The sequence below is a fragment of the Homo sapiens genome, chromosome 21 (genome assembly GCF_000001405.40).
Source record: "Homo sapiens chromosome 21, GRCh38.p14 Primary Assembly".
Taxonomy (NCBI): Eukaryota; Metazoa; Chordata; class Mammalia; order Primates; family Hominidae; genus Homo; species Homo sapiens.
Window position 1 is genome coordinate 13908339 of NC_000021.9, and position 26031 is coordinate 13934369.

The 26031-nt window shown below is 36.7% G+C and overlaps 1 pseudogene across 1 annotated transcript; it reads right to left on the minus strand.

The window, feature by feature from the left end:
• Positions 1-1109: 1109 nt before the first annotated feature.
• Positions 1110-25541, minus strand: LOC110091776 (ankyrin repeat domain 18B pseudogene; annotated as a pseudogene). The gene is made up of 8 exons (NR_146644.1): positions 25329-25541; positions 23890-24036; positions 16826-16955; positions 9217-9498; positions 6849-7071; positions 3380-3425; positions 2158-2211; positions 1110-1355 (listed from the first exon to the last, which is right to left on the minus strand). The product of NR_146644.1 is annotated as an ankyrin repeat domain 18B pseudogene (transcript).
• Between the last annotated feature and the right edge of the window lie 490 nt (positions 25542-26031).

Sequence of the window (26031 nt, forward strand, 5' to 3'; positions counted from 1 at the left end):
AAAGTTGTAGGTCTGCCAAGCAGTATTGCATTCAACACATCTTCTCACTTTCTCTTTCCAGCCACCCTCCAGGGTGCCCTGACTCACCTTCCCTGCAGATGGAGGTGAGGCTCCACAGACAAACCCCCTACCTGAGGTCACACAGTGGCCAGCGGGCCAGGTACTGACCAACCGCCGCTGACCAGGTTCCCAGTGATGAGGCCCCTAATGACCACTCCTCCATTGACCAGGTCCCACTGATCAAGTCCCCACTGACCATGTCTTCCTAACCAGGCCCGCAGTTAATAGGCCTCATGGGCCGGACTCCACTGACCAATTTTCCACTGACCTGGTCCCCAGTGACAAGACCAGGTTTCCACTGACAAGACCACTATTTACCAGGTTGCTGCTCACCCGACCCCCCACTGAACAATTCTCCATGGATGAGTCCCCAGCTGACCAAGCCACCTCTGACCAGGCCCTCACTGACCAGGCTCCAAGCCACCAAGGCCTCACACTGACCAGGCCCCTGGTATACTGTATATGCCCCACCAACCAGTTTTTCATTGTTTATGTTCCAACCAATCAGGCCCCACTAATAAGGCCACCACTGACTAGGTCCCCCCACTGACCAGGCTTCCAATGACTAGGTCAACAGGTCCCCACTGATGAGGCCTTTACTGAGGAGCCCACCACTAACCAGGCGCCTGCTGATGAGGTCCCAAATACTAGGTCCTGATGACCAGGTCACCTCTGACCATGGTCCACTGACCAGGCCCCTGAGCAGCCGTGCTCAAAGTCTTATTACAATGTCCCCCTCAGCTCACAGACCCTCCCTCCCTGCATGTGGGCCCAGAGGTCAGGCCCTGGGGTTTTTTTTTTTTTTTTTGGGGAAATGGCCTTTCCTCCAAGACACAGGGAGAGACAGTCGGCCTCAGGGTCCAGGTTCCCAGCTCCACACTCACCCCAAAGGCCCTCTGGGCCCATCTCAAAGGAGACAGTGAGGTGGCCTGGCACTGCCTGGACACACCATCTACCCTATTCCTGAGTGTCAAAGTGTTAGGAAGGGAGGGACATTTGGCAGATGAGACACACTGTGCTGTTGGGTCTCCCAGGACCCTTCCCACAGAGCCCCGATCTAAAGACACAGCACAGAGGCTACAGGAAGACTAATCCAGAACCTCTGAGGCTGAGCCAGGGACCACATGAGGACTGTCCCCAGAGAGCCAGAAGGCCCTTTGCTAGTTTCTTGGTACCTCAGTGGATGCAGCAGCTGTTCTTCTGTTGGGGACCAGTGAGTACACGCTGGGGAGGGCTCGCCTGTGCTTCCTCAGTGGCTCCACCTCTGCTTCTAAAAAAAATTACTCATTCCAGCGCTGGGGCAGAGAAAATACAAGATGAGCTTAGAACATCTTGTGCCAGAAAGTAAAAAAGTGCTGACAGAGTAATGGAGACAAATCAAAAACACAACAAGTCAGCTTGGAATGTCTACCACTGGCCTAATCTTGGGGAATTGGAGCATCAGAATCATGAGCTTTCCTTCTCCCTTATTTATTGGTTTTATTTCTCCATGTAGACCAAAGAAGAGAATAAGAAAATAATCATCTGGCAACCATCATAGTAATAATTGTTCAAACACAAGTCATCCATGAAATGCTAAATCTAGTGGGTTCTGAGGAGTAACCAGATATTTACAGAGCCTCAAAGTATCTCCATACAAAATATGGTTGAACTACAAAAACAAAATAGTAGCATTAGCATGGACAAACCTGGCAGGTACTCCTTAAGTCTCCTAAGTAATAAAAACTGTAAACTGCAAATAAGCCTTCGATGACCTTTACTAACCTTTACTAAAGTATCAATGATGACTTGGTTGTTTAAACAGCTGATATTTGGGCAATTTGAGTATGTCAAACTAAATAATACTTGTTTTCATTTGCAAGATCCACTTAAAACTTAAGGAGGCTAAAAAACATCATTTAAAATACCCTATAAATTATCATCGTACATATGATACAAAAATATCCTACTTCAGTAAATATTGTAATGTTATATATTTTATGAGAAACAATTAAAATGTGTAAATAGCCCAGTAATAAAGTTTTATAATCTTTTAAATCATACAATTTTTCCTTAAAACTTTATGGCTAAATATTCTCTTCATTAGATGTGGCTTACCAGTGGATTCTAGAGAAGAAAATAGATGGGAGCAAGTGTCCAACACAGCAACAGCTAGAAAGAAAAATAAAGAATTATGTCCTTTACCTAAAGCACTTCAGTTAACTAAATGTGAGTTTAAAAACTAAAGAGTTGTGAACTTTATCAGAGTTTATAAGTATGAGAAATATGTATGTACATTTACAATACAAAATTACTATTTAATAATTTACACATGGCATTAATTCTAATTGTGTTTAAATATCAGAGCTTTTTCATTCTTCATTCATGTAATCAACAGCCATGTGCCAAGGTACTAGAACCAGCACTGTAATTACAAGAGGAAGATGGTGTGGTCCACCTCTCAACAGTCATATGCTATAACCTAAAAAAACAGACAGGCAGGTAATGTCCATATAGAGTCATAGATACCATGACAGGTATACAGCAGGGCACTACTGGAACACACAGAAGGGACACCTACCCACTTTTATGTCAACATCATGGGCTTTCTGATGGAGGAGATATCATAGGTTGATACCTGAAGGACAAGGAAAAGCTTGCCAGATAGAGGGAAGAGGCAAAGGCAAAGAGCCTGAGATGAGGAAGAGCCCTGCAGAGTTCCACTCCATCAAGTTTGGGCTACAGCAAAGGGTAGAGTGAAGTAAGTGGTGAGAGACAAGGCTGAGTAACTTGACAAGAATTACATTGACATGGGTGTTTTTATTTCATGGTGAAAAATCTGGAATGTTTCCTGAGAACAAGTGTAAGCCAATGACACAGTAAATGACAGGAGATTTAAAATGTCACCTGTCAAGTGACTGCTTATGAAGGGTTATTGCTCAACTAAGCATTTCTGAATGAGTCTAAGGTCTGTTGGCCTTCAATTTCTACCAAAACCCTGAGAACTTGATGATGCCTGTGTTTTCTGAGAATCGTTTCAGTGTGCTGGCTGACAGTTCCATGAGGATGGCAAAACTTAAGAAAGTGTAGAGCCAGTGAAAAAGAGATGCACAGACTTCTTGGGAATTTTTTAAGCTACAGAACATGATGAATTTATGGTGCATAAGTACAGTCTTCTCTGTGAAAGTTTTTGTTTTCACATCTTTCATTAGATGTGTGTAAGAAAAAAAATACTTGACGTAGTATCTACTAACCCAAGAATGAAAAGGAATGCCATTTGCTATTTACACTTTATTTCTAAAATAAACCTAAATTTAATTAATAAATTTTGGCAACATACTTCTCTTTGTTTCTCTAATTATTTGTTCCACACAGTCCAGCTCCATCTAAAATAAGTAAAAATAATAATAATGTTTAAGTTAAACAAGAAACATTATCATGAAAATAATGTATCATTTACAAAATGTGGCCTTTAGTATTTTTAGTGACTAGACATAACTTGAAGTTTGCTTAAATAGAAAAATAATCACATAAATAAAGTAAAATTTCTACTTATTTTAAGTTTAGATAACAGAGGATGTATATGTGTAATGCTGTTTAGAGTAATCGGACAAAAATACAGTTAATATTGATCTATTGCATATACATGATTTTAGAAAGGTAGTGTTTTATTAGTACAAAGGTTAAACAATGGCCAGGCATGGTGGCTCATACCTGTAATCCCAGCACTTGGGGAGGCCAAAGCAGGCAGATCACAAGGTCAGGAGATCGTGACCATCCTGGCCTACATGGGGAAACCCCATCTCTACTAAAAATACAAAAATTAGCTGGGCGTGGTGATGCGAACCTGTAGTCCCAGCTACTTGGGAGGCTAAGGCAGGAGAATTGCTTGAAGCCAGGAAATGGAGGTTGCAGTGAGCCAAGACTGCACCACTGCACTCCAGCCTGGTGACGGTGAGACCTTGTCTCAAAAAAAAAAAAAAAAAGATTAAGTAATTAAAGCCATCTTTTGCAATGAATGCATTGCTTTGAAATTCTTAGAAAACTCTGCCCTTTATAAAAGTTTAATCCATTTTTTACTTCAATAAATTTTATCTTAAAAAGAAATTTCTATTCTCTACTTATAGTAAACTTTTCTTTCTTTTTTTTTTTTTTTTTTAGTTTATATTCTAAATTAAGGTGGTACCTCTGTAGGATTCTTCCAAAGGCATATTGAGGGATGCCGAGGTTTGCAGTACAGTTGAGCCCATCACACAGGTAGTGAGCGTAGGACCCAGTAAGTAGTTTTTCAACCCTGGCCCACTCTGTCCCTCCCTGCTCTTATTTCCTAGTGTCTATTATTCCCATGTTTATGACAATGTGCACCCAATGTGTAGCTTCCACATGAGTGAAAACATGAGATACTTGGTTTCTGTTTCTGCATTGGTTTGCTTAGGAGAGTGGATTCCAGCTGTATCCATGTTGCTGCAAATGATGTCACTTTGTTCTTTTTATGGCTGCTTAGTATTCCATGGTATATATGGAATTTTCCAATCTACCTTGGATTTTCAATCTACCTTGGATGCACCTGGATTGACTCCATGTCTTTGCTATTGTGAATAGTGCTGCAATGAACATACATGTGCATGCATCTTTTTGTTACAATGATTTATTGTCCTTTCAGTATAACCCTAGTATAGTAATGGGGTTGCTGCATCCAATGGTCATTCTTAGTTCTTAATTTCCAAACTGCTGTCCATAGTAGCAGAATTAATTTGCATTGCCACAAACGGTGTGTGTTCCCTTTTCTCCACAGCCTCCCCAACATCTTTTATTTATTTATTTATTTATTTTACTTTTTAACAAAAGTCATTCTGACTGGTGTGAAATGGTATCTCACTGATGTTTTGTTTGGCATTTTTCTGATTAGCAATGGTAAGCATTTGTTAATGTTTGTTGGCCACTTACATGTGTTATTTTGAGAAGAGTCTGTTCATGTCCTTTGCCCATTTTTAATGGTGTTATTTATTTTTTGCTTGTTGATTTGTTTAGGTCTCTTATAGATTCTGGATAATAGGATAATATGCATTTGCTATACCCATAGTTTGTGAATATTTTCTTCCATTCTTTAGGCTGTCTGTTTAATCCCGTGATAGTTTCTCGTGCTGTGCAGCTCTTTAGCTAAATTAGATCACACTTGTCAATTTTTGTTATTCTTGCAATTGCTTTTGAGGACTTAGCCATAAATTGACAAATATGATGTCTAGAAGAGTATTTCCTAGGTTTTCTTCCAGGATTTTTATAGCCAGAAGATGTACTCTTATGTAAGAAAAGCACAAGCCTTTTTTTTTTTTTTTTTTTTTTTGAGACGGAGTCTCCATCACCCAGGCTATAGTGCAGTGGTATGATCTTGGCTTACTGCAACCTCTGTCTCCTGGGTTCAAGTGATTCTCCTGCCTCAGCCTCCTGAGTATCTGAGATTACACATGCCTGCCAACATGCCTTGCTAATTTTTGTATTTTTACTAGAGACAGGTTTCATCATGTTGACCAGGCTGATCTCAAACTCCTGACCTCAGGTGATTCACCTGCCTTGGCCTCCCCAAATTTTGGGATTACAAGTGTGAGCCACCACGCCTGGCCAAGCACAAAGCTTTTAACATAAAAATGGAAATGAACATTTTAGTGTTTGGTTTAATTCATAAAATGCAATTATTTTGGATTCTCCTAAATAATAAACATCCATATGTGGTAAAGTGTTTGGATGCCAATCATTCAGTTGTGATTATGGGTGGGAAGAGTTGAGATGGTGCAAATAAACTTTTTTCTAATTTTTTATTTTCAAGACGGAGTCTTTCCCTGTTACCCAGGCTGGAGTGCAGTGGTGCAATCTCAGCTCCTGCAACCTCTGTCTCCCAGGTTCAAGCAATTCTCTGCCTCAGCCTTCCTAGTAGCTGGGATTACAGGTGCCCGCCACCACACCTGGCTTTTTTTTTTTTTTTTTTTTGTACTTTTAGTAGAGACGGGGTTTCACCATCTTGGCCAGGCTGGTCTTGAACTTCTGACCTCGTGACATTCCTGCCTCGGCCTCCCAAAGTGCTGGGATTACAGGCATGAGCCACCGCACCTGCCTGGTGCAAAGAAACTTTAAAAGTGACAAGGGCCGGGTGCGGTGGCTCATCCTGTAATCCCAGCACTTTGAGAGGCTGAGGCAGGCAGATCACAAGGTCAGGAGTTCAAGAAGAGCCTGGCCAATATGGTGAAACCCTGTCTCTACTAAAAATACAAACCTTAGCTGGGTGTAATGGTGGGTGCTTGTAGTCTCAGCTACTTGGGAGGCTGAGGCAGGAGAATCACTTGAACCCGGGAGGTGGAGGTTGCAGTGAGTGGAGATGGCACCACAACACTCCAGCCTGGGTGACAGAGTGAGACACTGCCTCAAAAAAAAGAAAGAAAAATGTGGTATGAACCACAGCCAAACTACAATCAATTAGAGAGTAAGCCAAAGTATCTCAAAGTATATCATCAGTTATAAGGCAATAACATGCAATTTCTAAAACCTAACTTAAATGCAGCTTTTAAAGACATTTTAAACATGTCAGTTTAGTCACATTTATTGAATAAAGTTAGCAAATGGATATCTCTCAAAAATGAGAGCTCCAGGGAATTAAAAAATGTAAAGTTCCCATTTCCTTTCTGTGTTAACACAGCTAATTATGATCTTTACTTAACATGCATAAGTCAACAGAACAACTCAGTATTTCACCAAATTAAAAACAAGAATTACGCTAGAGAAATGAAACCCTAAAGAGAAACGGTCATATAACGAACCTCAGTCAAGTAGTTCTGGCAGTTATTTGAGGTCTGAGGGTTTGAAGTAGGAATTCTTACGGGCATTTGGGGAATATATTTTCTGTTGAGTCCTATACTAGTAAGATTTTCAACACAAGGTGACTCTGGGCCTCGCCTTGTAGGAAGAGTGCTGAGAAAATATTTCACCCGCTCTTTCTCCATAAGGAGCTTGGTGCTGATCATTGCTATTTTCTTATTAGATCTATAAAGATAGCAAAGACAAATGCTTAGTATTTCATTTTTCCTTAAATGATTCTTAATGACTTGTAGTTTTTAAAAACTTGCCCTGAGAGTAAACCAAATTACCCACTAAACAGTGTTTTCACACTGAAGATGTGTGAGAGCATACCTATTGTAAGGAATTATACTTTTAAAATCACTCTAAAGAAGCACCTGTGTTTCTAAGGTGATTTATACTGAAGAAGCAGCTCAAACAAAGTAGACAGGGAAGAGAAATGGCTACCAGTGATGTATGGCTCAACGGGTAAAACTTGCTGCCTTCTAAAATGGCTCTACCTGTAAGATTCTGAAGATTCCACTTGAAATACTTGTATTTAAAGGGTAACAACATGGGAAAAGGAATATGTTGATTTGCTTGATTATAAGAACCACTTCACTAGAAATAATTATATCAAAACATCATGTTGTGCTCCTTAATGTAGGTTAAGAAAACTAAAATGAACAAAAAAAATCTAGGAATACTTGTGTTTAGTAAACCAGTTTCAGGTTTCACCCTTGTACATTTCACCAATTATCTAGGACCAATTAAACATTTGGTAATGAGGAATAATTCAGAGCAACAACTCCTAGGGGAGAACTAGATTGTTTGGTTGTTGATCAAAAAGAACTAAAGCATCTCTGAAGGCAATTAGCCCCCAGCACTGTGACCAAGGCACTGGAGGTGGGGCTTGTTCTTTTTGCCTTCCACACACCCCTTCAGACTGAACAAGGTGTTATTTTTTAACCGCTTTGTGAATTACACTTCTTTAAATTCCTGTGATAATTATTCCCTATTTCATAAGGATGCCTTTCTATAACATCTTGAATATGTTACACAGGTAGTCTTTCTTGAGGCACCCTCTAGTCATAATACTAAAGATCACAATTAAAAACGATTGTGCCCAGAGTAGCAGTACCACTTGACACTTTGGGTTTAGGTCGTGATCTACTGAAAAATAAACTCATTAATATTACTATTTAGGGAAATTCTGACAAGTAATTTAAAACAAGATCACTTTATTAATTATAAAGCTTCAAAAATACTTAGTAAAAAAACTTACAGATTAACTACAAGAGACTTTTCAGGAGAAAAAAGCCATACAAAAGCAAAAAAAAAAAAAAAATGAGAGGAGAGACAGAAACTATCCTTGAATAACATTTTAAAGGTAAGATTACTTACTAACATTATTTTCCAAAATTACATTGTCAAATTAGCATTGACTTCCTACTAATATCCTGAAGCCATCTCACTAAAAATTATGCTTTCAAAACAAATTATTGAGCTGAATTCATTTTCTATAAGTGTATGTTTGGACTTACTTCGTTAATTTTTTTGACATGGAATTGTTAGCTTTCAATGCTACTGCAAAGGCTTCCTTGTATTCTTCTAATTTGGTTGTAACCTCTTCATAAGTAGTTTTCATTTTGGAGAATTTACATTCCACATCTTTAAGTGTGAGTTCCTTCTTATTTAGTGAAGCCGTATTACCCTTGTTTAACTGCTCTAATTGTTTTTCATATTGTGTTTATTTCTAAAACAAATGAAAAGAATATATTTTTAAAACAATTATAACCTAATTATTATATGTTTGTTGCCTTTCATTTTGAGCCAGTGATTCAAAGAGCAATTTTGAATATGTTAAAAAAAGAGGCTGAAGCTTAAAATGTTTATCAGCAGTATCAAAACTAATAACTGAATTCAGAATCAAGTCTGATTTATAAAAATTTGAAACCATAATTATGTTAGTATTAATGTAATCTGGTCGTATAAAAAGCAATAGAATCCATTCATAATTTTAAAAAGTGATCAATGAACAAAGTAGCTTAAGACCAATTCAAAAGTATCACATAATTTCTAAATCACAACTTTTTCTTATGCCAACTGGTCTTAATCATCAAATGACTCCATAGTAAGAATCATTACTCTGAAAGATTGATTTTGTTATAATAATGGAAATTTAAATATTTAAAAGAAAAAACAGATGCCATTTTTTTTTCTAAAACTCTACAAAGCAAATTGCTACAAGAGAGGCAGAGGAAACACAATATACACATATCCAAAATATAATTTGCAGTGAAATAAAGGAAAGCACATTACAGATAAACTTACCTGATTTAAAAAACTAACCTGTAAATGGATTTCTTCTAATTTTTCTACTGCCGTCATTGCCCTTTCATCTAGCTCCGATTTATATTCTTGTAGTTTACTAAGTTCTACCATATTGTCTTCCATATGTGTCTTAAGATTTAATATTTCTTCTTCCAACATCTTTTTATCCTTCTCAAGTTTTTCACATTGCTGTTGTACTTTTTTCATAGATAATAACTCCTGTTGAAGAACTTGATTGTCTTTAGCCAAATCGACACATTTTGAAGATACAGCTTCCTTCTCTGCTGTAAGATCATCAAACTGCATGAATAAAATAGTATAGCTTGATAATGAAGTAGGCTGAGAATAATCTAATACAAAATCAATAGCAAATTTTGAAATGCATTTACTCGGAATAAACTGTTATCTGTAGTGCAGTAGATTCTTCAAATGTGAACCCTTAAATTACTCAGAATTTTAAGAACAAAGTTAAAGCTACCATGAGTCACAAAAATACATTATTTAACTATCATCATCTTTGTCACAGAACTTTTGCACTTCATCTTACTTTTATTTTTCTGATAATTTATTTTTGTTCCTCCTTAAGTAGCACTAAGCTATCTCTTAGTAAAAGGTGTCTATCCCGCTTCCCTCATTATCATTCCCCATAATATGTCAAAAAAAGTTTCAGAAATATCACACTGAGTTATTTAGGCCAAAGTCAATAAATGGCTCTAGGAATAAGACTTTGAAAATAATATAACACTCTATACTAGGCATGGTGGGTCATGCCTGTAATCCTAGCACTTTAAAAAGCTGTGGCAGAAAGATTACTTGAGGCCAGGAATTTGAGATCAGCCAGAGCAACATAGTGAGGCCCCATCTCTACAAAAAAAAGTGTTTTTTAAATTAGCCAGGCATGGTGGCTCATGTCTGTAGACCCAGCTATTTGGGAGACCAAGGCAAAAGGATGGTTTGTACCCAGAGTTCAGGGCTGCAGTGAATTATGACCACATCACTGCCCTTCTGCCTGGATGACAGACAAAGACCCTATCTCAAAAAACACAAAATAATGAATCCTGTAAATAAGTATTCTGATGCCATAAGCCTTTCCTTAAACTGCAAATGTTTCATGCTAATTTGAGTTGCATTTTAAGAAGTAATGATTCTTGGGGTAAAGGCCACAGAATACAGCACCCAGAAATAAATCCACATATTTCCAGCCAAGTGATTTTGGATGAACATGCCAAGAACATACACTGGGGAAAGGACAGCCTCTTCAAATGAATGGCACTGGGAAAACTAAATATCCATATGGAGAAGAATGATACTAGCTTCCTATGTAACACCATATAACAACATAAACTCAGAATCAATTGAAGACTGAAATGTAAGGCCCAAAATTATCAAACTACTATAAGTAAACATAGGGAAAATTCTTGAGGACAGTCTGCACAAAGATTTTTATGGGTAAGATATCAGAAGCATAGGCAAAAAACAAATGATAGACAAATGGTACTACATTAACCTAAAAAGCTTCTGTCCAGCTAACAACTGAGTGAAGAGAAAACTTGTAGAATGGGAGAAAATATCATCAAGCTATTAATCTAATAAGGGACTAATATCCAAAATGTACAAGAAATTCAAACAACTTGACAGTAAAAAAAATCTGAGTTCAAAATTGGGCAAAATATCTAACTATACTTTTTTTTAGAAAAAAGAAATACAAATAGCCAATAAATAAATTTAACAATGCTCATTATCACTAATCCTCAGAGAAATACAAATCAAATCTACAATATGATATAATCTTGCTTCAATTTGAATAAATTATCATCATGGAAAAGATAAAAAAAAAATGCTGGTGAGGTTCCAGAGAACAGTAAACTCTTATGTGCTGTTGGTGGGAAGGTAAATTAGTGCAGCCACTATAGAAAACAACATGAGGTTTCCTCAAAAAATTAATAATGGAACTGCTGAGGGATCCAGCAAGCCCACGACTGGGTATTCAGGCAATAGAAAGAAAACAATAGATCAAAAGGAAGCCTGTCCTCATATGTTTATTGTAGCACTAGTCACTACGGCTAATGTATGGAATCAACCTACATATCCATCACCAAAAGAAAAGACAAAAAACTGTGGCACACATACACAATGGAATACTATTCACCGTATAAAGGAATTAAATCCTGTTATCGTGGCCACGTGGATCAGTCTGGAGGATGTTATGTTAAGTGCAGACACAGAAAGATAAATACTGCACATTCTCACTCCTGTGTGGGAGCTAAAGAAAAATTGAGGGCTGGGCAACATGGCTGATGCCTGTAATTTCCTAGCACTTAGAAAGACAAAGGCAGGAGAGTCACTTGAGGCCAAAAGTTCCAGAGCACCTGGGCAGCATAGGGAGATATTTCTATAAAGTCAAAAATCAGATGGGTGCAAGGGTGCATGCTCATAATCCTAGCTTCTCAGGAGGCTGAGGTGTGAGGATCACATGAGCCCAAGAGTTGGGGGCTGCAGTGAACTATGATCAAACTACTGTCTCCCATCTGGGTGACTACAGTTGCCCAGAGCCCAGACTACACTAGCAAGACCCTGTCTCTTAACAACAACAAAAATCTCAAAGAAGTAGGGGAAGGTAGGTTGGTTAATGGATATGGAATTACAGTTAGATAAGAAGAATGAGTTCTGGTGTTCTGTGGCATTGTAGGGTGAATATGGTTAACTATGATTTATTGTATATTTTTTAAAAGCCAGAAGATTGTGAATGTTCACAATTCAAAGAAATGAAAAATGGTTGAAGCAGTAAATGTGCTAGTTAGCTTGATCATTACACCCTATTTACATGTATCAGAATATCACTCTATAACCCATAATTATGTATATATGTGTCAATTAAAACAAAAGAGAAGTTACATTGATCCCATTTAAAAAAACAGAATATGGGCCAACCTTACTGACTTCCTCCTAATGAATAGAATGCAGTAAAAGAGATACCATGCGGCTTACCTATCTCAGACTGTTTTCCCTTGGAACCCAGCCCCCAGATTGTGAGAGCACTCAGGCCACAAAGAGAACCTGGCAGTGCCAGTGTCAGTGTTCATGCTGCCTGTCCCAACCAAGGTTCCAGCCAATGGCCAGCATCAACCATCAAACATGTGGGCGAGCAATGCTTCAGAGGATTCCATTTCCCCAACTGATAGCTGTTCCTAGGGAAGCTGAGGGGAGTAGAGACGATCTGTCCTGGCCAAGCTTTTTCCAAACCACAGGTTCATTAACAAAATAAATATTTTTCTTTTAAGCCACAAAACTCTGGGTAATCGTTAGAAAAATAAGTTTTAAAAAGAGACAACAGGAAACATAACTTATGCAGCAGAAAAGAGTCTCCTTTAAAGTAGGATCTAACACATGTTGAGGTTAATTTATTGATGGCAAACATTATTGAGAAGCAGCAGATAACCAGGACAGAGACATAAGCTGCTGAGGAGGAACTTTTCCTAAAACTCCTTCAATTATGAACTCTGATAACAAAGCAAGGGTGTCTCCTTACAGTTTCCCCTCAAGTTAGGAAATAAGACTGGGAAGCAAGAAGAAGACATATGGTATGAAAAAAAACTAGAAATACTTGGTTACACAATCAAAATCAGACATTTACCTGATTTGAATTAACTAAAATTCTAAAAGATAAGCTTTCAGTATTTATTAATCAATCTAGTATTTAATTTTTATTTTCCTTTTCTCAATGAGGAAATAAGGAGAACATTATGAAATGATTTTTAGTCTTCACAGAAGTAAAATAAACATAGTGTGCTTTGAGTGTTAAGCAATCAAATGCAATTTCTCCTTTACCTTACTTCAAGCTTGTTTGTTTGGAGAAGTTAAGACCATCCCATCTCTATGCTATACCACAAGACTTCTCTATAGCACACAACTTGGCTCTGAAATTTTGAAAGTCAAAATACTAATCTACTATGTGTCTCTGATAAATTGCCTGAACATTACCTGATTTTGAAGTGCTGCACTCCTAAGACCTTTTCTTGGAATGAGTCAAACTTTATATTCCAAGAATCCTCTACTGAGCTAGAAAGCAGAGCTGTGCATCTCTGTTTCAGTAAAAGGTGGTCAATACAGCTAACTGTGGTTTCTGAGAATGCAAGATCTGCACCAAGAAAAGGATTAGCCACAGTGCTACCCAAGAGAACCAGCTACCAGGTGGAAAGAGGATCTGTGAACTGCAAGATGATGACTTCACTTGATTTTCACTGAGGAAAGCTGGCGGCTCAGACTTAAACTTCTCCTTCCTGGATGGTAAACATCTATGGAAGATTCTATGAATTATAATGAGTTAGGAAAACATAATGCACTAAATATTAGACTATCTCAGCAGATCCTGTGACCAAAACTTACTGAAAACAAAACTATAGCAGGAGGCAATGGAAAAGAGACTAAAGATTTGAATGGAGAAAAAAGAAATAAAGTGTGTCTTATAGGCCTGGCTTCCCATCATGTCTTAGAGTAAGTAAGGTATAAGCTGGCCCAGAGACTCCTTTGAGACACAAAAGGTGAAATTAAAGATATTCCACTAAATTTAATTTTTATTACGACATAAGACAACTGGTAATATGCAACATGATTGAAAAAAACTTCTTAGTAAATTCATTTTGGCCTTGGCATAATAATAGACATAAACAAAGTAAGAATTGATAATCTAAAAATAAACTTGTGCATTTACAGTCAATTGATTTTATATAAAGTTAACAAAAGAACAAAATCGGAAAAGAATAGTCTTTTCAACAAATGGTGCTGGGACAACTGGGTATCCATATGCAAAAAATAAATAAATTAGGACCAAATATCTTTTTTAAAAATTAACTCAAAATAAAACAGTTAACTGTAACAGCTAAAACTATAAAACTCTCAGAAGAAAACACTGGCATAAATCTTTGTGACTGCATTTGGCAGTGTTTTCTTAGCCATGACCCCAAAGGAAAAATGGATTCAATGGACTTCAAAATTGAAAACTGCTGTGCCTGAGAAGACAGTATCAAGAAGTGAAAAGGCAAGACGCTAAGTAGAAGAAAGTATCTGAAAAGCATATACCTGATAAGCGACTTACATATATAGGATATGTAAAGAACCTTTGCAATTCATGAGTAACAAGATAATTCAATTTGAAAAATGGGCAAAGATTTTGAATAGATGTATCTGCAAAGAAGATGTAAAGATGGATAATGAGCACATTAATAGATGCTTGATGTAATTAGTCATTAGGAAAATGTAAATCAAAACCACATGTGGTATCACTTCACACCACAGGATAAAATCTTTGTTCAATAAAAAAGAGAAAATAAGTGTTAGGAAAAATGTAAAGAAATCAAAACCCTTATCCAATGCTGCTGGGGATGTAAAGTGATGCAGCCACTTTGGAAAACAAACTGGCAGCTCCTCAAAAGGTTAAGCATGAAGTTACCCTACGACCCAGAAATTCCAGTCATAAGTATATACTCCAGAAAAATAAAAATCATGCAAGCACAAAAACTCATACATAAATGTTTACAGCAGCATTACTAATATGAGTCAAAAAGTGGAAAGAACCAGAACGTCCATCACCTTTGGGTGGGAAAGAACCCAAAAGTCCATCACCTGGTGAATGGATAAATAAACTGTTTGATGTATCCATACAATGGAATATCACTCAGCAATAAGAAGAAATTAAGTACTGATACTGTATTAGGAGGAGACAGCAAAATGCCTAGGCAGATATGGAAGGGTCCCTGGAGAATCTCCAACCAGCTCCACAAGTGTTTACACCAGATGTTAAGTGCAGATAAGGGAACCTGGACTTGTCTTGCCTGGACATGCCTGCAGCAGACCAGAGGCCCACATGCACTGGGGGGATGGGGTGGAGCCACCAGGAATTCATGCCTTATGCAGGGGAGGAGCCTGGCCGCTTCAGCTCATGTGCTCCTGGTATTCAATTGTGAGGTGGAAACCTGCTTGCAGGACCACTCTCTTTGCTGAGAGCTTTCCTTTCACTTAATAAATTCTGTCCTCCTCACCCTTCAATGTGTCTGCGTGCTTAATTTTTCCTGGTCATGAGAGAAGAACCCAGATGTAGCTGAACTAATGAGAAAAACCCCACATCAATACCTGCTACAGCACAGATGCAGCATGAAAAATTATGCTAAGTGAAATAAGCCAGTCACAGTAGACCACTTGCTTTTTATTTCAGAGGCTTATAGGCAAATGTATATAAAGGAGGTTGGTGGTTCCCTACGGCTGAGGGAGGAAGGGAAAACTAGTGAAGATGGCTAAGTGATGTGGGGTTTGTTTTCAGGGTGATGAAAACGTTCTAAAATTGATTGTAATGATGACTGCATAACTCTCTGAAAATACTAAAGTCAATGACTCGTATATTTTAAATGAGTGACTTGCATGGTGTGTTCATTATTTCTCAATAAACCTGTTACCCAGTCCCCCCAAATTAATTTGGTACTAGTGGTCTGGAGACAGGTACTGCTTGGTTTCAGATCACTGGCCAGAGTTAAAGACATAAGAGAATCAACAGCATGTCCTTTTTATAGAAAAGAGGTTTATATTTTTAAAACTATCCTTTTCATTAGTATCAATTCTGTAAAATTAAATGAAAAATCTTTCTTTGACTGCTTAAAGCACTGAGAGATTTATATTGAGGAATAAGACCTTGTTTTCTTTGGCCCCAATTTCTATCTAAAGGGTCTGAGAATCACACACTTCAAACTATTAAATCTCATCAGATGAGTTTTATTAACTCTTATAATGTGGCTTACTTTCTCACCTGATTCTGGTACAGCATCACAGAGAGAAGAAGCTGAAGGAAATCAAAATATTTAACCCCCAAATATATTTTTCTGACATATTTTGAAATGGTTGCTGCAGGGCCAAGAGATTGAAATGGCCCTCATTAAGGTAGCCCAATCTCTTCCCTTCTAGGTCTTCCCACATCTGGGGAAGATGAACTAAGAGGCTGATGCATTTAAAGTCTGAAAAGATATATTTACCCTCTATTTTCTCAACATATTTTGGCAGAATTTGGGTTTTTCTATTATCAATATGTTCCCAAATTATGTGATTTTTAATCCCAAAACTGATTTAAAATTACCGTATGTTGGAATATAAGTTATTCTGTTATAAAGATACATGCATTTGCATGTTCATTGCAGCGCTATTCACAATAGCAAAGACATGGAATCAACCCAGATGTCCATCAGTGATAGATGGGATAAAGAAAATGTGGTATATATACACCATGGAGCCATAAAAATGAATGAGATCATGCTCTTTGCAGGGACATGGATGAACTCGAAGCTGTTATCCTCAGCAAACTAATGGAGGAACAAAAAACCAAACACTACATTTTCTCACTTATAAGTGGGAGCTGAACGATGAGAACACATGGACTCGGGGAGGGGAACAACAAACACTGGGGCCTGTTGGGGTCAAGAGGTAGAGCATCAAGATCAGTAGCTAATTCCTGCGGGGCTTAATATCTAGGTGATGGATTGACAGGTGCAGCAAACCATCATGGCACACGTTTACCTATGTAACAAACCTGCACATCTCACACATGTAATCTAGACCTTAAGATAATTTTTTTTAAAAAAATTACCTTATGTTTTAGTTTCTTAATCAGAATATTCATTTTCAGTTGATCTGTTTTTAAGTCTCCATGGCAATCGAAGTCTTCATTTCCAAATACACTTAACACATTTATTGTCATTTCCAGGAGTTTCTTATATCTGCAGAAACGTACAGAATTAGTAAGTCAAATATTTTTAAGAGTAAATATTTAATAATTGTTTAAACGATATTATGTTATAGCATATCAAAGAAACACATCTATAAACTATGATCCTTTCAGTTTCAACTGAGCATAGTTTGGAAGCACTCTATATGAAATTATAATCTTAGATAAATAATATGAAGAACAATTTTATGGCATATATGGCAGGTAAAGTGGTATTACAACCATACAGTTTTTTTTTTTGTTTTTTTTTTTTTGAGATGGAATTTCACTCTTCTTGCCCGGGCTGAAATGCAATGCTGTGATCTTGGCTTACTGCAACCTCTGCCTCCTGGATTCAAGTGATTCTCCTGTCTCAGCCTCCCAAGTAGCTGGGATTACAGACATGTAGCACCACGCCTAGCTCATTTTGTATTTTTAGTAAAGATGGGGTTTCACCATGTTGGTCAGACTGGCCTTGAATGGTCAGACTGGTCTTGAACTCCTGACCTCAAATGATCCACCCACCTTGGCCTCCAAAAATGCTGTGATTACAAGTGTGAGCCACCACACCTGGCCTAACCGTACACTTTTTGTAAATAAACTATTCATATCCATGTTGGTATGGTAAGATAAAATAACCTATTACTAAATATAAGCCATAACCTAGAAATGAGTAACCAAGATAAAAAAGTAAAACACATACATTTGAGAAAGACAAAAAATTACATTTTGATACCCATTCACAGTCTATAAGAAGAAAAAAAAGTACACACAAAAAGCATCAAGGACATTATTCAATGTAGAAAAAGAGAAGACCAAGAAAGGGGCAGAGAGATGCGTGACGATTTAAAGACTTTGAAGAAGAGATCTAGAGATCTTTGCTGACATAATGTCAACAAAATGAAAGAGATACAAAACCATGTAGAGAAAGGCAATGACAGAATAATGTAGATTAGAATCAGAAAACCAATTTAAGTGCTCAGTAAATAAATAGAAAAGTAGCTGTGTTCAGGGCTTCAAAGACACATTCCATTTTTTTAAAAAAAAAATCTGTGATCAAAACATGAATGCTCATTTTACTTTTAAGTTATACATATATTTTTATATATATGAAATTTATTTCTGTAAAACAGAAGTTTAATAACATGTATACTTCGTGTATACAACGGAGGTATCTGTGTAAAATGAGTAAATTTCCATGTTTTATATCTAAAAGAAAAAGAAGCAAAAACAAAATATAAGCTATATATCAAGATAAATTTTGATGTTAAAGAATGACACAATAGGTCTTCTTTAAAGAATTTGAATGCAGTAGAGGATACTACAAAAGGAAGAAAAGATGACCACAGACAGCAAAAATATCTTCAGAAATAAAAATTCAAACTAGATAATGAAGAGTGGACGACATTATATGTCCAAGGCTTTGTCATTGTTTTCAAAATCATTAAAGAATAAGCGGCTGGGCACGGTGGCTCATGCCACTTTGGGAGGCTGAGTCAGGCAGATCACGAGGTCAGGAGTTTGAGACCAGCCTGACCAACTTTTCAAAACCTCCTCTCTACTAAAAAATACAAAAATTAGCCGGGTGTGGTTGCACATGCCTGCAATCCCAGCTACTCAGGAGGCTGAGGCAGGAGAATTGATTGGAGGCATAGGTTGCAGTGAGCCAAGATGGAACCATTGAACTCCAGCCTGGGAGACAGAGGCACTGTCTCAAAAAAAAATAATAAATAAAAATAGAAATAAATAAATAAATAAGTATAATATTTTGGCATTCAAAAAATTTTCAGATTATGTTGTTTCTCTTTTATACATATTTTAATACAAATTTTTTTATCCCAACCTTGCCCCAGCAGCTCAGCTGACTCCCAACCCCATGATGCACATGCCTATAAAGTTGTGTTGTGAGTTTCTGAAATACATTTTAAAATAGAATTCATTTAATTATGAAAATGGAGACATAAAATGAATTTGTATCTCAGTTTTAGTCAAGTAAAATTAGAGCTAAATCAATTAATAAATGATTAACATGTTCTACAATATGAAAACCATACCCAGTTGCCTCTTCTTCTAATTCATGATTTTACTTTCTTATTTGATTCACATTATACTCCAGTGATGATACTAACACAAAAGGTTTCCTTAATTCTTCATTTTTTTCTTCAGGCTTAAAAAAAGTGTTTAAAATTATTTTTGTAAAATCTAGAGACCCTCTTTTATCTTAAAAATATTATTTCTCATAAGTTGATGAGTAATATGTATTTAGGCAGGGGTATAAAGTGCATTTTATAAGCCTGATGCCAATAAGGGCAGATTTCAGAAATAGTCACTTTTCTTAAAACTGCTAAAAATGATACATAATTTCATTATATTTTCTGAAATTTAAACTGCCGAAAATGTTTGTTACAAACAAGGGTTTTTACACATAAAATACTAAGGGTTAGTAAAAAATGTGTAGTTATATTTACATTTTACTTTTTAAAGATGCTCTGGAAACATTGTCATTAATAGTTTAAGATATTCCAAGTTTTCTTAAATTACATCTAAGAAGATTTTTAGAAAACTCTTATCTATTTTCCATTACATTTTTGATCCTCATCTGTCTTCAGGTTGAGCTAAATACTGTCATTCTCTGTAAGTATTCACCCACAGGTTTCAGTTTTTCCCTTTCTCTTAACCCTTTCTCTTTAAATAAAGTTTTTTTCTATAATAAACAAAAACACAACTTTTGTCTACTTTTTGTGGTTTTTCTATTATCCTGTTTCTCCCCTTCCATTGGACTCTGTGACACATGGTCTCATCCAGAAATCTATTTTTCATCACTTATTGTGTTTTTAATATGGAAATCTGATTTTTAATAATTCCAATAAAAAAGTCCAAGGGTCATGAAGGACTTTATCCTGCTTTACTCAGCAGCAGCTGCGAGCAGTGACCAAATGTTCCCTCTGCTCCTCTGACCCCGCTTCATTTCTAAATGCAGCAACCTCTGTTCTTCAGTCCTATTCCTTTCTGTTTGTTTGTTTGCTTGTTTGTTTTTGAGATGGAGTCCCCCACTGTCACCCAGGCTGGAGTGCAGTGACACAATCTCAGCTCACCGCAACCTCCACCTTCTGGGTTCAAGCGATTCTCCTGCCTCACCCTCCCAAGTAGCTAGGATTACAGGCGTGTGCTACCATGTCCGGCTAATTTTTCATATTTTTAGTAGAGATGGGGTTTCACTATGTTGGCCAGACTGATCTTGAACTCCTGACCTCATGATCTGCCTGCCTTGGCCTCCCAAAGTGCTGGGATTACAGGCGTGAGCCACCATGCCTGGCTGCTATTCCACTTTTTAAATTCTCTCAGGACTCCTAAAATCTCAAAACTTTGACCTAGATTCCCTAATCTACATTTCCATCTCTGACCTTTTTCTTGAGGCCTCTTCCTTCTAGTACACATATTATAGAGAATATTCCAAACCACACGCTCAGACATTGCTACTTGGTGCAGATTACTTTTGTAGATAGTGAATCTTGTCTATTTTATGTTGGTTCTTATTGATGTTACTTTGAGTATACCGTTATTTTCTAATCTCAAAGGGGGACAGTCTCACCATTACGATATTGACCAGTATACTTTGTCCTTTTTTTCTTTCTTTCTTCTTTTTTGGACCAGTATACTTTGTCCCTTTTTTTCTTTTTCTTTTTTTTTTTTTTTTGAGATGAGTCACACTGTGTCATCCAGGCTGGAGTGCAGTGGCGCCATCTTGGCTTACTGCAACTTCCACCTCCTGGGTTCAAGTGATTCTCCTGCCTCAGACTCCCAAGTAGCTGGGACTACAGGTGCACACCACCACGCCTGGCTAATTTTTGTATTTTCAGTAGAGACAGGGTTTCACCATGTTGGCCAGGCTGTTTTTGAACTCCTGACCTCAGGTAATCCACCCACCTCAGCCTCTCAAAATGTTGGGATTACAGACATGAGCCATGGCACCCAGCCCTTTTTTTCTTTTATAATGAAAACTTTCCCATGAGAATCAGATTATCAATTGTTTGCCTTTGTTTTCTTTTAAAGAGTTTCCTTTTCCATAGAGATATGGCATCATGAAAGTCTTGTTCTAAAGTTTCTAAAGTTTCTTTCGGGTGACACTCAAATATATCATTGGGAAGCTCCAATCAAGTAGACATCTCCCTTCTTCCCATTTGAGATTCTTCATCTCAAAATGGTGTCCACCAAACGTCTTCATCCAGGTAGTCTCTTGCTTAGAAATTCAGGAGATAAGAACCTTCTTGAGAAGTTAGAGGCTATTGACTGAGATGGTTTAATGCTGTCCCTTATTATATGTTTTACTCCCAAGGCAGACATCAAAGTGGCTAATAATACTATGCCTGATGTCTAACTCACTTCTATGGGAATCTATACAAAACGTTTTATTTATGAGACAGAGTCTCACTCTGTTACCCAGATTGGAGTGTAGTGGCTTGATCAACACTCACTGCAGCCTCAATATTCCAAGGTCAAGCGGCCCTCCTACCACAGCCTCCCAATGTAGCTGGGACTACAGGCATGCACCACCATGCCTCTAAGTATTTATTTATTTATTTATTTATTTTTTAAAGACAGGTTCTCATTATATTGCTGTGGCTGATCTAAAACTCCTGGGCTCAAGAGATCCTCCTGCCTCAGCCTTCCAAAATGCTAGGATTACTTGCATGAGCCACCTCCCCCAACCAGGTGTTTACTGGGGACTAACATGAAGCACTTACAAGAGTATGTGGAACATAGTGAGCTACATAAAATATTTGCTATTAGCATAATAATTTTATTGTATATCTTAACAAAATTGTGTATGTTAGGCAGGTGGCATGCCAATGGAAGTAGTCTCCTATAGCTGCACTGAATCATTCTTCTCACCACTGAGAGTTGCAGCAAATGGGGGGCACATAATTTATAAATTACTTTTCTCTGTGTATGACTCAGTAGGCAATGACTATGTATGTACTACAATGTAAATAGCACCTCCTGGATGGAATAGTACATAACTGACATGACCAGCAGACAGGCTAAAGACACTGAGCTGAAAACCCTGCGACTCTATTGCTAAACCAAGGCTCCTGAATCCGTTCCCTCTGAGCAACTGTTGCTGTGGTGCTGCCTTCACAAGCACTCTGTGGAGCACTGAGATTGAGGGGCTGTGCTATCCGTCATCAGACAAGCTGCAGCCAGAACTGTTCAGCTGACAAACTGGGAGCAGTCCAGAAATACAGTAATGGCTGCATAGTGAAAAAAAGCCAATTTAGATTCTTTTTCATAGAGAGAAAAACATAAACATGTGATTGAACAAGTCTCCTCTATTAGACTAATTGGTTTAGATTTGATATTTAATTGCTAAAAATACATTTAGAATATAAACCTTACTGTGTCAAGGTCTCAAAGAACAAATAATTGGTATGGTATAAAGTATTTAATTGTATGCTAAAAACTTCTAAGCTAAAATATTTTCAATTTATGCAAGGATAGGTGCCATACATATTATATATTATTGCCCCATTAAGCAAATTTATACTGAGACAAAATTATCTTCCATAAAAAAAGAAAAAGCCATGTAAAATTAAGGACTAAGTTTTTCTGCACAGACTGGACAACAATTCCTAACACATAAGGTCAGTGAGAGTCAGAACAGTCAGAGAAAGCTTCATAAAAACAAAAAAATTGTCTGCCAGGTCTGAACGAATGAGACTAGATGAACAGAAACTGAGAAGGCAGAAAGGATAGCATGAGCAAGACAAGTGCTGAAATCTGCCCAATTAACTCTGAGGATAAAGTCCAATGGCAGGGAAATAAAAACACATGTCCACATAATAACCTCTAAGTGAATGTTTGCAGCAGCATTTTTCATAATAGCTAGAAGTGGAAACTAACCTCAATGTCCATCAACTGATGAATGAATGGAAAACCAGTATAGCCATGCAATAGAGTATCATTTAACTATAACAAGAAATAAACTACCAATGTGTGCTAAAACATGCATGAATTCTGAAAACATTAAGCTAAGTGAAAAAGCCAGTCACAAAGGACTATGTATTGTCTAACTCTATGTATATGAAATATGCAGAACAGGCAAACCTACGGAGACAAAAGTAGATGGTGTTTGCCTACAACAGGGGTAGGTGGAGGGATATGGAGGAAGGTTGCAGTCATGCCTAGGAGATGTGGCATTGCTTTTAAGGGTGATGAAAATGTTGTGAATATAATAACAGATACTGAATTGTACATTTTAAATGGGTGACCTGTCTGATACATGAATTATATCTCAGTGAAACTGTTTTTAAAATCCAATGACAGGATCAAGATAATTTTCTCAGCTCTCAATTTTTGATGTACATACTATATCAGATCTAAATATTTCTATACTTTTATAGTATATTTTAAATAAAAGGTAAATAAAGAAAATGCCTAACTTTTCAAATAGTTTGTAAATTGACATAAAACATGTACATTTCAAAGAATAGTATAATGGCCTTTCTATACAAGTTAACTTAGAATCTGTGAAATAGACACAGATTCTGTGTCCTTTCACAAAAGTGAAGAAATAAGACAATTTTCTGGAACATTCCATTAAACATTGTCCTCTGATTTAATCTGGCCTGCCTCATCATAGCAATACAAAAATTACTTGAAAATATGTTTAACAGGAAAAAAGTCAATTTTCTCTGAGGAATGATGTATAATTATCAACTTTTCCAAGGGTACATATTGTAAGAGAAAAGGTATGCAATCCTTTTTCAAAATGGTAGAACAAAAGTCACAATATAAAAAAAAAGTACATTATAAAGATAGTAAAATGGAAATAATTAATTATAATGAAAGTACAAAATCAAGCTTCTGCCAAAATTAGTATCCTAAAACATGTTATATAATTCAACCAGCTACAGAATAACTGTTGACATGTTAAATTCCATACATACTTGACTTTCCACTTGAAATAATTTCCTCTTTGAGGCCCGTGTCTCTTCCAAATTAATGTGACATCATGTACCTTCCAGTGGAGACTCTAACATAGTTAATTTTTTAAGGGAATCAGCCACTTCTTGTTGAAGTTGTCTCACAACCACCTGATAAAATATTTTTGTTACTGATTTTATAAATTGCCTTATTATTAAATTATGTTAATAACATTTAACTCTAACATACCTACTTTGAAAATTATCTCACACACATCAATTCGCCTTCTTTTCATCACAGGTACACATTTTTATTTATTACTGAATTCAGTGAGGGATGCAGAATGTGTTATCCTCCTGCCAAATTGGTATTCTCTTATACAACAGATTCATCCCACCATTCAATCATCTTAGAAGCTCAACTCAACCTCAAAGTTCCTAACATATTCAATCAACTGTTCAAATCCTTTCAACAGATTCCTGTCTCAGAATAAAAGTAAAATTCCAATGGCCTTTGAGGCCCTAGGTAAACCCCTCTTTAGTCTGAAAATGGGGATATAATGCCTAACTCATAAATCACAGGCAGCTACAGTATCTTTGTACTGGACAAAGTCATATTCAAATGATAGTCATTGAGCCTTGAAATAAAAATTATGAGCTAATTATTAATAAAAATATTCAAAGTAAATTATGAATACCAGTGGGAAGACTAAATCAAATATAGTTTTGCTAAAATTTACCACATTTACCCTAAATTATAATTTTATAACAAGTAGGTGCCTTTAAAACATTACGTGGTCAAAAAATATGTAATTTGAGACTGACATATTTTCAGATTTAAGTTAAATTAATATGAATAAAAATAAAGCTATACCAACTAAAATATATAAAAAACTACTTAAAGCAAGATATTACAAGACACAGCAATACACTTCACTTCATCTGGGAAATCTAGAATTAAGTGTTGAAGCAAATCACTTAATTAAATTTTAATTTGAAAATACTCATTTCAGGTGTAAACATTTCCATTTATACCTTCATCATGGTCTTAACATGTGGCAACATAAAGACATTAAAATTATTATTTCAGCACTACAGGACTATCTACCTTAAAATATGACTCTGTGCCGAATAAAATGTCATAGGTGACACAAAGTCTTCTCTCAAAGTAAATCATCTCTCACCTCTATGGAAACAAGGTATGTTTCTAAGCTGATGTAATAAACACATTTTTCCTTTTTTTTAAAATCAAAAAGCTTTGTTGAAATATAATTTACATACTATAGAATGTATCTGTTTTAACATAAAGTTAAAAGATTTTTAGTACTTTTTCTGAGCTGTGCAGCCATCTCTACAATCCAACTTTAGAGCATTTCCATCACTGCAAGATCCCTCACGCCCATTAGCAGTCACTATCAGCTTCCAGCCCCAGCCCTTCACAAACATTAATCTACTTTTTGTACCTATATATTTCTCTTTTCTGGATGCTTCATGTAAATGGAATTGTACAGTATAGTAAACACAGTTTTTATCTACTGATTTTTATATTCAACTAGGTTCAACATGTATCCAGAACCAAATGTTTAAATTTTCTTTCTAGAAGTTTGAAAATATTTATCTTCCTTGATTCTTACTACTGTTTCTGCTTTCTGTCTCTCATATTGAAAGAGACTTTCTTTTAAATGATCATATTCATTCATTAGCTTCTTATTTTTCTCTTCTAGTATGAGGTCTTTCTTTCTACTCTCAATAAAGCCTCTTTGGATATTAATTACTGTCTCTTTATGATCCTCTTTCTGATGAACATCAATTAGTTGCTGTTCAAGCCATGGATTTTCACGTTGGAGTTGACATATCCTCTCTTCCACACAGTTCCACTTTCCAGTAGATTTACTGACTTTAGCTTCTGCACTTTGATACATCTCTTTCATTTCCTTTATTTGCTGCTGTGTTTGGCTTAGGTCGTTTTGTACAGTTTCTAAAGCTAATGACTTTTTTCTGAGAGTATCTCTTGTCTTACGGAACTTATCTTTTTTTTTTTCTTGTACCTTTTTTTTTTAATGTTTATTGATCATTCTTGGGTGTTTCTTGGAGAGGGGGATGTGGCAGGGTCATAGGATAATAGTGGAGAGAAGGTCAGCAGAGAAACATGTGAACAAAGGTCTC